The 12,101-nt window shown below is 43.7% G+C and overlaps 2 protein-coding genes across 6 annotated transcripts in view, besides 1 other annotated feature; one reads left to right on the top strand and one right to left on the bottom strand.

Moving 5' to 3' along the window:
* The window catches only part of TMEM272 (transmembrane protein 272), a 121,020-nt gene that overhangs the window by 64,883 nt on the left and 44,036 nt on the right, over window positions 1-12,101 (top strand). Inside the window, exon 1 of one of the 4 annotated variants that reach the window (XM_047430281.1) lies at window positions 7,196-7,471. The exons of the other annotated variants lie outside the window; for them this stretch is intronic. The gene's annotated coding sequence lies outside the window, so the exon portion shown is untranslated. Of the gene's footprint in view, window positions 1-7,195; window positions 7,472-12,101 lie in introns of those variants that run through there. 4 annotated transcript variants of the gene reach the window in all.
* On the bottom strand, window positions 3,252-7,515 carry CCDC70 (coiled-coil domain containing 70). 2 transcript variants are annotated; one of them, NM_001346075.2, is made up of 3 exons: window positions 7,255-7,515; window positions 4,500-4,588; window positions 3,252-4,152 (listed from the first exon to the last, which is right to left on the bottom strand). In NM_001346075.2, exon 3 carries the CDS (start codon window positions 4,070-4,072, stop codon window positions 3,404-3,406), a length of 669 nt encoding a protein of 222 aa, NP_001333004.2. In that variant the 5' UTR covers window positions 4,073-4,152; window positions 4,500-4,588; window positions 7,255-7,515; the 3' UTR covers window positions 3,252-3,403. The 2 variants fall into 2 exon arrangements, with proteins under 2 accessions (NP_001333004.2, NP_112580.3); NM_031290.4 differs by lacking the exon at window positions 4,500-4,588.
* Window positions 6,714-7,913: an enhancer, noted in NCBI's record as "P300/CBP strongly-dependent group 1 enhancer chr13:52435707-52436906 (GRCh37/hg19 assembly coordinates)". NCBI's record gives its function as "activates an origin of replication core promoter dependent on BRD2, BRD4, P300/CBP, MED14 and CDK7 cofactors, with strong dependence on P300/CBP, by STARR-seq in HCT116 cells {active_cell/tissue: HCT116}" and the evidence as "EXISTENCE:reporter gene assay evidence [ECO:0000049][PMID:35650434]".

Genomic DNA, 12,101 nt, shown 5'->3' with positions numbered 1-12,101 from the left:
TTGGGACTGGGTTTTTTAACTTAAAGTGACTGGAAGAATCCATGGTGTCTACTCGAGTTTTAATTTAGGGACAAGGGTGGAGCTAGCCCCATTGATACCGTTTAAAGGGACAAGATAATTCTTGATAGCACGACGTCTAATGCTGGCACATAAGAACTTAGGACATGGTCCACCCTCCTCGGGGCAATGAGGAATAGCTTTGTTGAGGTTAATAATGTGAGGATGGAGAGAGCAATAGATGAACTAGAGTCAGACCTTGATCATGACACAGCTCCACTCCTTACCACAGCCAAAGTCTCTTCACTGAGCATTGTTCCTTCATCTACAAAATAAGGGGGTTCAACTAGACAGCCAGTGGGATGCCTTCTCTATCTAAACTCTTGCATGAGTCTAGGGATGGCAAGGTGGAGAGGGGTTGGGTGAGTAGCCCCTTTCCTGGAGATAAACCACAGATGGTTTAAACCAGAGAAGACACTGGAGAACCCACTGCATTTCAAAAATATTTCCTTTCCCTTCTGGCAGCTTTGGGTAATTTGGGTAAGCACTTCTGGGTGGAGGCACAGCTCAGGCTTTGCGGGGAAGATGAATTTAGTGGTGAAACAACAGTTATGACAATAGATGCTGTTTCTGGCGCCTCTGAATCTTCTAGTATCTGCATTATGATTTTGGAATAAAAGATGATTCATTTCGAGTCTGGAACTCAGCTAAATGAGCAGGACTCTGAAACACCATAAATGACATTTCTCCCTGCCAGGAGCTCAAAGCAGGGAGACTGAGCCACTCCATAGATATTTGCCTGTGCTTTGTCTTACGAAAGACCCAGGAACTCTCTCAGGAGTTCAGCCTTGCTGTCACAGGTGCTGGCTAAGGGAAGCCAGCTTTGGCTGCTGCTGAGGTTGTGGAGAAATCTATCTGCATTTGTGCTAACAGTATTAATAAAAGCCCAGAAGTTAGGAGATGTTTCTGTGAATGTTATCTGCACTCTATCTGTGAAACAATGCTGAAGGTCAGGTGATTCCCAGATATTAGTTGTACACAGCTTACTTATCCTTAGGTTTCCTTTTGGCTAAAACTCGGTTTCATTCATCTCTGTGCATCTTTGCATAGCGTTTAAAGCACACTCGAGTGACATGCACTGCTGTAGTGCTCTCTCAGAGAGGCAGCCCCATGGGCCTCTTCCCTCCTAGCATTTGCCAGATTTTCCAAATAATGACATTGTGATTGTGTGACTCTCCCGCACTGGACGGAAAGCTTCCCGTAGGCAAGAATTAGCTCGTTCCCAAACATAGCATAGTGTTGGCAAGGCACAGTGGTGATGAATAAATACATAAGTGGATGATGAATTAAATGATTTATGTAGCAAAGGGATGCTGGCTGCACACCTTCTTGTTGGATGGCAGGGAACAAGAAGAAAGGTTGAGTTCACCCAGGTGCTAAACAAGCTTTGAGAACTTCCTTTCCACAGCAGATAAAAGGAGTCTGCAATTGTGGAGGTCTAGAGTACACTTTTCATCTCCCTTCATCCTGAATTTTGTCTTTGGCAGAATCTCTGGGGATTTTTGAATCTGCAGCTTTTCTCTGCACTGGGGTTCCTGCAGTGTGAATACCATCCAATGGCCCACACCGTCCAGGTCTTGAGTGTGGGCCCCTGGCAGCCCTCTTGAAATCGAATTCTCTCCACCCTGCATCCTATTCCCCATGGCTTGCTGAAGTCCTTGCCCTGGGACCCATGGAGAGCTGAGGATGGGTGTGTGACCAAGGAGAAAGCTGCTCCCACTGCTCTCTGACCCTGCTTCCTCTGAGAATCAGAGGACTTGCAGGGAACCCAGACTTTCCCAGCGCCAATTTTTCCATTGGCCATGCAGTAACCCAGGCTTTCCCACAATCTTCTGAAGCCTCAGAGGCCTGGCTGCTCCTGGGAGTCGGCCCACTCTCCTGGCACCAAGGGTATTTGTTCACCCTTGACTTTGTAAAGATCCCTGTCCTCTCCTCTCCCTAGCTCTCCACCCCCAAGCCACTGTGAAATCCTAGTGTACTTTAAGGCTCTCCCAGTATTGACACCACTATCAGCCAAGTCACTTCCCGTGACCCAGGGCTGTATTAGGAAAGGGCCACAATACCAAGAGACAGACACTGTGGGTTTTGGTCCTGGCCCTCCTATTTGCTACTTGCTGAACCACATGCACTCACATTGCTTCTTTAGGTCTCTGTTTCCTCATCTGTACAATGGGTTTATGCACCTTCCCTGCCAGCCCACAGAGCTGTGGTGAAGGTCACATGAGGAGGTGCATGAGAAAGTGCTTGTCTAGTAGTAGGGGACCCACTACGGTGAGGTAAGTTGATGTGTTAATGACAGTGAAGGCCAGGCCTAAGGAAAGGGGGAGCAGGACACATTTGTCGTGGCGTTTCTTACTCCCTTACTCCCTCACTCTGGTCATTTGTGTGGCATTCCCTATAAAGGCCATCTAATCTCCCCACCCCCAGAAGAAAAGTTGGGCACATAAGTTGCTTGACCACATTCATGTACATTCATTCAATGTACTACTCCCTAGGGTATTTTAATTTTAAAATAGATGAAAGCAGGAAGCCCCCCAAAAAGAATGTATAATACAGAAACACAGGGACCATGAGACTTATGTGAGTGGGAATATGTGAGGGCAGGGACAGGGAGCATGCCCATGCATTGCCCAGGCCACTCCATGGGTCAACTTGACTCCCTCATCAGGGGCGTCAGTGCTCTTGGGGGCCGCACTCTTGAGTCTCAGCCCCCACGCCAAGGCCCCATTCTCACGCTGCCTGAGTAGGGCAGCTGAGACGTTTGGTGGAACTCGGAACTACCAGTGAGTGGGTCGTACAGGGATTCTGCCTGTGTCCTCCACATGCCCTACCAGAGGAGGAAGAGGCACAAATGAAGAATTAACAGCACAGAGGCCTTTACTGGAATGCTGCCAGCCCTCTCCAGGCCTCCAAGACTGCCCCAAGTGAAGGAGAAGTGACCTCCCCACAGCGTGGCGGAGACAGCGGCATCTCAGCTCCTCTCTGTCCCTGTGTGTCTCTAGCTGGCATGGCCCGAGCCTCTCCTCCCCATTTTGACTCTTAAAGAGAGCCAAAGCGTCTCCACTTCCAAACACCCGCACAGGCTGGGGTCACTGGGAGCTGCCTGGGACCGATCTCTGTGGCCCAGAGGTGGGAACATGACCTTGGATCATCACAAAACCTGGAAAAAATGCAGCCAGCCTTCCTCAAATAAGTTGGTTTTCCAAACCTTGCCTCAGGACTTTATTGGATCTTTCAAAGCAAGGAGACCAATGAGTGTGTATTTTCTCCAGCACATGGGCTCACCCTGGACTTGAATCCCAACCCAGGGGAGTCTGGACCACAGGGCCCTGCACCTGCATGCTGGCTACGCCCTGCCTCGGGAGAAGGCCAGCAAGCGCTGCCCTCTGTTGGCGTTGTGGGGCCCATCTTCGAGCATCTGCTCTCCGGCAATGTGGCCATTGTTCTCCATCCAGAAGGCCCTCTCTTCCTCCCAGAGGGCATTCTCTTCCTCCCAGAGGGACGTTTTATCTTCCCACAGGGCTTTCTCCCCCTCAAGGAGGGCTCTTTCCTCTACCCACAGGGCCTTTTCTTCCTCCCACAGGGCCTTGTCCTCCTGAAGAAGGTTCCGGTCTCTTTCCCATAAGGCATTGTCCTCTTTCCAGAAGGCCTTATCCTCCTTCCAGAAAGTGCGGTACTTTTTCCAGAAAGTTTTCTCTTCCTCCCTGAAAGACTTTTCCATTTCCCAGAAGGATTTTTCCTCTTTCCAGAAGGTTTTCTCCTCTTCCCAGAAAGGTCTCTCCTCTTCCCAAAAACCCAGGATCTGGCCCCGGAAAGCATGGATCTTGCCTCGGAAAGTCCACATCTCTTCCCTGAAGTCCTCTATTTTTTCACGAAAAATTTTCATCTCTTCGCGAAAAGCCTTTTCCTCCTGCAGCTTGTGCATTAGTTTCTTCTGGCGAATACTGGGAGAGGATGCCGCCAGGGACCGGAAGCAGGCAAGCCCCATCCATCTGCTCACCTTGAAGGAAAACATCTTCCTTATCAGCCGGAATGGCGGGGTGGCCATGAGGGATGACAGGACCCTTGGCCAGGTCCAGGTCGGCTGGTCAGACCCTGTGGGGGCAGCAGAAAAGACAGATCTATGAGTATCACATGCCAGGGGACGGCCCTTGGTTCTGTACTACTGAATTTGAGAAAATGTAATCACTGCTCTTTGTCCACATGGTGGTGTTTGTGAGGGACAAGCTTTGGTAGAAAAACATGTGGGGTGGTCATGGCTTTGAGCTGGAGAGGCAGTCAGTACATTCAAGCTCAAGGCTGCTAAAAACGTAGACACTCAGCCAAGAAGGACAGTGGCTGTCAACTAGGGTATCAGAACACATAGGTGTGACATGATGAGGCCAAGAAGAATTTACGTTTGTTAAATCAATCCGAATGAATTTAGGTTTTGGTGTACTCACTTGAGAATTGTTCCTATCTGCCTATGGGCATGCTCACGTGTGAATGTCCTCTGTTACGAGCCTGGGACACAGAAGACAGGCCCACTGACCTCAGAGGGGAGGAGGAGAGTGTATTTTAGGAGAGGAGTTTATTTTGGGAAAAGTGGTTTAAAACAAAAAGGTGAGAGACGATGGTGAATGTTTCCAGGGACATGGACCAAGAAGGCCCTCACACAATATTTAGTAATATGGAACAATAAGAAAGACACCAGATGACCCGCAGCTCCAGTCCCAGGTATAAACCCTGAGGAAACTTAGGAACTGTGACTAGGATACATGTACAAGTGTGTTCAAGGAGCTTTGTTCATAAGAGCTCAACTCTGGAAACAATCCAATGACCATCCCAATAGAGTGGAATAAAAAATGGCAGTATATCCACATGGCAGACAGCATGGCTGCCTACAACAGCATGGGTAAATCTTATAAACCCAATGCTGAAAGAGAGAAGCAGGATCAGGGAATTTCAAAGAATGAAGTTCCAAACAAGCAAGACTAAATGCCATTGTCTAGGGGAACATACTTCAACACAGAAAGAGAAAAGCAAGGAAGTGAGTCCCAAAGTCAGAGTAATAGTTGCTGGTGTGGGAGGATTTGGAGTGTGGGATGAGGAGGTGAGACTAAGGGGTGTGATTAGGTGAGTACTTGAGAGAGGCTTCTGCAGTGCTAGCAGGACTCTTTCTTTGCTTGGTGGCGGTTTCATGTGTGTTGTTATAAAAATGTGTTAAGTGGTACATGGATATTTTATGTACCCCAGTCAATACAGTATATTTCACAATAAAATAAAAGCTGGGAGGAAGAAAGAAGGAAAAGAAAAAAAGAAAAGAAAAAGAGAGGGAGGGAAGGAAGGAAGGGAGGGAAGGAAGGGAGGGAGGGAAGGAGAAAGATCTTCAAACATTGCCATATATCTGAGGAATCAGATAGCAGAATTATCCATAGCAATCCCTGTAACTACAAACATGAATCAAGGGATGAGAAAAAGTGCTGGACATAGGAAGGTGGTTAGAGTGCAGTAAAGAGCTCAGTGTTGTCAGATAAGGAGTGCAGGCACATGCTGACAGCATTGTTTTCCATTTTGTGCTTTCTGGAGGAAGCTGCCAGGGTCCGGCCCTCACTCAGTGGATCTCACCAACCCATCATCCGTGAGACCTATTGGGGAAATTTTCAGGGCTTTCTCTGTATTTTTCCATTTCTGGTTTAGGAACAGGGAGTGGAGGAGGAGAAAAGACACATAGCTGGTGTGTGTGTGTGTGTGTGTGTGTGTGTGTGTGTGTGTCTGTGTGCGCGTGCATATGAAGACACAGTGGCTAGGCTGTGGACAGCTGGTGGCATCACCATCCATCCAGTCACACAAACCAGAACCAGGGGCACATCCTTGACCTTTCCCTCTCCCTCACCAGACTTCTCTCCTCAACCATCAAGCCCTCCTAGCCGAGATCCAGATCCTTAACATTTCCTGAAACCATGCCCCTGTTCCATCTCCCCCATGACAGCCAGGTCAGGCCAGGATGCCTGTAACAGTCTCGCTGCTCTCTGTATTGATCTTACCCTCTCATCTGCCCCTGCACTGTAGCCCTACAGGTGTTTTCTAGAACACTCTCTCGTCCTATCACATCAGTTCACACACCTTCAAAGACCCTGTAGCCCAAAGATCAAAGCTGAACGCCCTAGGAAGGCCTTGTGCAGCCCAACTCCAGCTTGCTTCTCCCTCTCCTTCCTACCCAGCCTGCACCCAACTCCAAATCTAAGGCCCAGTATTAACGGGCTCTATTCAGCTCTTGGCACTCTGCCTGCAGTTTCCTGCCTGTGTGGTGAAGCACATGTCGCATCCTCTACTGAGAGCCCCTTTTGTTCCTGTGGTGGGCTTGAATTCCTGTACATCCTTTCCCCTCTGAAAGCTACTCGGACCCTCCAGACAAAGTTCCTCGCCACCTCTGCGATACTGTCTGTCTGTTACTCCACTATTACTTGTCACACTTGATTGAAATTAGGTGTGGACATGTCTTCCTGACATCTCTGTAACCCAGCAGCTATCATAATATAACGCCGCCTATATAGGAGGGAATTGGTGAAAATGTTGGTTGAATTGAACTGAATTGAACTGCATTTTGGAAATTTGATTTTCTATGTTGTATGGCTCTTTGCCTAGAATCCCTCCAATATGTGAAGTCCTCCCTCACTTCCATGTCATGCTGGCCCCCTCTCCCTGGATATCCTTGCCCAACCTCACTTCAGTTCACCTAGCGAATCCTTCAGCACTCAGATACCTCCTCCAGGCCATCTCTCCTAAGCTCAGACTGAGCATGTGCCCTTCCTGTCCCACTAGAAACACCTCATCTTCCATCTCTATGTCTGGCATCCAGCGAAATGTTCTGCCACAGGATAGGTGTTCAGGAAATAGTAGCTGGATGAATGGGCGTCTACTGGGTTAGGATGTTGGAAAACATTCACCTCCAAGTTTTTCTCAAGTGAACACTAAACTTTCTTTAAGAAAGAAAGAAAATAAGAACCATATCAAATAGGTAGATGTGTATTAAAATATAAAGTACAATATAAAACTGTAGATGTGTATCTGTATAGCTGTAAAAACATGCACTAAAGATACATGCCCAGTTTTCAGTTATACTGTAAGACTAGGAGCTTCTTTTTAAGGAAAATATTATATATTACCTTATGCTTAGAACAAATACTATACAGTCTAAAGCCAACAGTTACTTACTGCTTAGCTGCTTCCCACTGGGGTAAGTCCTGTAGCCCTCAGAGGGGGCAGGCGGCCATTGTCATGTCAGATCCCCAGTGATGCGTGCTTGCAGGCTTGCCCCAACAATGCTGGCAGTGACCTGTCTGTGCCCTTTCAGTCCTGACTCACAGGATGGAGATGGCCAAGAAGGGGACCCCTATAAAAGACTTTAAGGAAAGGAGGGGGCACTTGAAAGGTTTGAAAGAGTTCCTCTTCAATCTTTGACTTCACTGATAGGGCAGTGCTGTTGATGACTCACAAGTGATTGTTACCTTAGATTCTGTCAGCATTGGTTCCGGGAGCATGGTTCTAGGAAGTCATGTTCTGGTGGGGGCTTTGTGTGGGATGAATCACTTCTCTTGCTGCTTTCCAGATTCTTCGTCTTTGGCTTTTGATAGTTTGACTATGATGTGTCTTGGTCTTGAGGTTTATTCTACTTGGAGATTGTTGAGCTTCTTGGATATGCAGATTTGATGCCGTTTTTCATCAAATTTCAGAAGTTTTTGGCCATTATTTCTTCAAATATTCTTTCATCCATTTTCTCTGTCTCCTCTCCTTCTAGGGCTCATATTATGTGAATACTAGTAGCGTGAGTGTGTCCCCCAGGTCTCTAAAGTTACGTTCATTTTTCTTCATTCTTTTTTCTTTCTGTTGCTTAGATTAGATAATCTCAATTAACCTGTTTACAAGTTCATGGATTTTTTTCTTCTGTCAGTTCAAATATGCTGTTGAATCCCTCTTTAATTTTTCATTTTCAACTCCAGAATTTTTGTCATGTAGTAAAATTTTTAAATAGTCAAGTAAATTAACATATCCATCATCTCATATAGTTACCCTTTTTTGTGCACTGTAGCAAGAGCACCCACAATCTACTCTCTTAGCAAAAATCTTTAATACAGTGTTATTAACTACAGTCCTCATGTTGTACCTTAGATCTCTAAATTATTTATCCTATATATCTGCAACTTTGTACCCTTTGATTTCCCTCTTCCCGTCCACTCCCCACACGTAGCAGCTGCCATTTTATTCTTTGTCTGTGTATTTGACTTTTTTCTTACTTCTTCTTTTTAATTTTTTTAATATTCTACATATAAGTGAAGTTGTGCAGCATTTTTCTTTCTGTGTCTGGCTTATTTCACTTAGCATAATATTCTCCAGTTTCATCTATCTTGTGACAAACGGCAGGATTCTCTGTTTATGACTGAATAATATTCCACTTTATATACATGCTGCAATTTCTTTATCCATTCATCTGTCAGTGGACCCCTAGTCCATCCAGAATTTCTCCAGAAATTTTCACTGTGTCTCCAGAATTTGTTTGGTTATATATAGAAAAGGATATATGTGCTTTTCTATATACATATATATACACACACACACACACACACACTTCTATATATATATTTTTTCTATATATCTATATAAAAGTATATGTATACAAAGTGTGTGTGTGTGTATATATATATATACACACACACATATATATATGTATGCACACATACTTTTCTGTCTCTTTTTGGTAAGGCATAGTTTTTAATTCTTTCCTTTAATGCTTTTTTTTTTTTTTTTTGAGACATGTTTCTGTCACTCAGGCTGGAGTGCAATGGCATGGTATGATCTTGGCTAACTGCAGCCTCAATTTCCTGGACTCAAGTGATCATCCCACCTCAGCCTCTCAAGTAGCTGGGACTACAGGCGTGCGCCACCAGACCTAGCTAATTTTTTGTGTTTTTTTAGAGATAAGGTTTCTCCATGTTGCCCAGGCTGGCCTCAAACTTCTAGGCTCAAGTGATCTACCCATTCGGCTTCCCAAACTGTTGGGATTATAGGTGTGAGCCATCACACCTGGCCTTGTTTTCCTTTAATTCTTTTGGAATGGTTTCTTTTAGTTCTTTAACTACATTTGTAATAGCTGACTAAAAATCTTGGTTTAATCGCCCAATATCTGCAATTCCTCAGAGACAGTTTATAACCAAAAAGACAATTACTCAGAGAATAACAGTTTCAGGCCAGGCATGGTGGCTCATGCCTGTAATCCTAGCACTTTGGGAGGCCGAGGAGGGAGGATGGTTTGAGCGTCCTCCTGGTAGGAGTTTGAGACCAGCCAGAGCAACATAACAAGACCCTGTCTCTACAAAACTAAAATAAATTAGTCAGTTGTGGTGGTGCATGCCTGTAGTCCCAGCTGCTTGGAAGGCTGAGGAAGGAAGGATCATTTCAGTGCAGGAGGTCGAGCTGCAGTGAGCTATGATCGTGCCACTGCACTCCAGCCTGGGTGACAGAGTGAGACCCTGTCTCAAAACAAAAAAAAAAATAGAATAACAGTTTCTACTGTCTGCTTTTCCCCCTTTATATATAACTCTGTTTGCAATAAAGGGTTTCCTGTTTCTTTATGCCTCAAAAAATTTTGTTGAAGTTGGACACTTAAAATAATATAGTAACTAAAAATGAGATTTCCACTCCCAAGTTTTGTTGGTGGCATTTATTGTTGTTGCTGTTGCTATTTGTTCATTTAGTGACTTTCTTGGACAAATTCTATGAAGTCTATATTTTTTATCATGTGTGGGCATTAAAGTCTGCTTATTAGCTTAACGATCAGCTAATGACTGGACAGAGATCTCCATGAACTGATGTCTCCTTTCCTTTGCTGAGGGGGTGTCTGTGTGTGTGTGTGTGTGTGTGTGTGTGTGTGTGTGTGTGTGTTTGGTTGGGAGTCGGGGGTGCAGGTTGGGCATACCTTTAGTGATCATGCAGGCAGTTTATGATTCTGCCTAGCCTTCGCTTCCTTCTTGTGAGAGCCTCAAAGTCAGCCTGAGGTGAGAGATTATGGCCTTCTCAGGTCTTTCTCAGCCATGTGCACAGTCACATGCATGTGACCCAAATTCTCAGGACTATATCAAAACTTTTCAAAGTCTCCGTCTTATTCTCCAGTTTTTCTTTTTCAGTTATTGGTCAAGCCTATGGTTAACCCCAGCTAGTAATGCCAAATCAGGCAGCTATGATATTAAACAATTACCATTTTTTTTTTTTTTACAAATGCCCTGAGGATAGGGTTATTTGCACAGAGTAAGCTCTGAGTCAAGTCAAATAAAGACAAATTCTGTGAAGGAAGCTTTTCAGTGAACTGCCAAACAGGTCAAATAGTAAAAATTCTTTGAGGATGGAAAGAATCCATCCTAACCCTTACTCAGTCATTCTGGAAGTCTCAATCATTGGTTTTTAACCGTTCTTCTTTTTTAATATGTGTGCTTAAGACCATCAGTTTCCGAAACAGCCAAGTAAAAAGGGCTCCCGGGAGAACCTCCGACCTGCCACCGGGTGGATGGGGCGGGACCTCGAGAAGTTCTCACTGTTTGCAGGGGGGAAGGAGCTTGGCCTCTCATGTTTCTGGGTGGCAACCTAGGATTCAGTCTGTGAGATGGGGGCCTGTTAACAGGAACCCCTTTCGCTTTGCTGAGTTTTTTTCCTTTTACACCCAATAAATTTCGTTTTTCTTACCCTTCTGTGTGTCCACAAGCCTAATCTTTTCCTGGTTATGTGACAAGAACCCAAAGAACCCGGTTTTTAGCTGAGCTAAGGAGAAAGTCCTACAACATTTTCATCTAAGTACACTTACCTGCGTCTCACATGTTTTGATATGTCACCTTTTAATTACCATTCAGTTAAAATATTTTCTGATATCCACTGGAATTTCTTCTTGGATCTATTGGCTATTTACAAGTACATTGCTTAACTTCCAAATATATGGGGATTTTCCAATTATCTTTTTGTTACTGATTTCCAGCTCAATTTCATTATGGTTTGCACAAAGTATATGGTTTGTATACTCTGATTTCAATCATTTCAATTTGCTAAGACTTGCTTTATGGCCCTGTATACATTCAATTGTGGTAAATGTTCCATGTCCACTTGAAAATAATTGGTATTCTTCAGTTGCTTGATGCAGTGTTCTCTCTCTCTATGTCTGAATTAGGTTGAGTCTTTACCTATGTTGTTCAAATCTTCTATATCCTTATAGATTTTTCTGGCTGCTTGTTCTGTCAGTTACTGAGAGAGATGTACTTGCAGATCTATTTCTTCCAGTTAGGTCAGTTTTTGTTTTATATACTTTGAGGCTATATTATTAGATACATGCATATTTTACAATTGTTATATTTTCTTGGCATATTGACACTTTGATTTTTATAAAATGCCACCGTTTTATCTTTAGTAATACTTCTTGCCTTAAGTTCTACTTTGATCTTAGTATAGGCACGTCAGCTTTTATTAGTGTTTGCATGGTGTATCTTTTCTATCCTTTTATTTCAACCTTTCTGTGCCCTTATATTTAAAGTGTATTTCCTATGATGAACATATAGTTGAGTTTTGTTTTTTCTACTGTAATACAATTTGTCATTTATTTGGTTTTTAAAAATATTTACACTTAATATAATTACTGATTTATATTAGATTTGAATCTATTTTCTTACCATGTTTTTTCTACTCCTACCTGTTAAATGTTACTTTTCCTTTTTTCTTTTGGATTAATTAAATAATTTTATTATTCCATTTTCCTCTATTATGTCATTAGCTATATATTCTTTTAGCAATTATCCTGGAGATTATAATAGGCATCCTTGAGTTGTTAAAGTCTAATGGATTTTTATCTTTACTGTTTCTCTGATAATGCTAGAATCTTAGATGATTTTAACTCCACTTATACCCCTTCTACCTTTTTCATTTTGTTGTCATAAATTTTAATTCTGCGTATATTCAAGACTCCTCAAGATTTTGCTAGTCAACATACATTTGTAATTACCCATATTTTTACCTTTTTTCATGCTCTT

The sequence above is a fragment of the Homo sapiens genome, chromosome 13 (assembly GCF_000001405.40).
Source record: "Homo sapiens chromosome 13, GRCh38.p14 Primary Assembly".
Taxonomy (NCBI): domain Eukaryota; kingdom Metazoa; phylum Chordata; class Mammalia; order Primates; family Hominidae; genus Homo; species Homo sapiens.
This window is presented reverse-complemented; position numbering and strand designations above follow the sequence as displayed.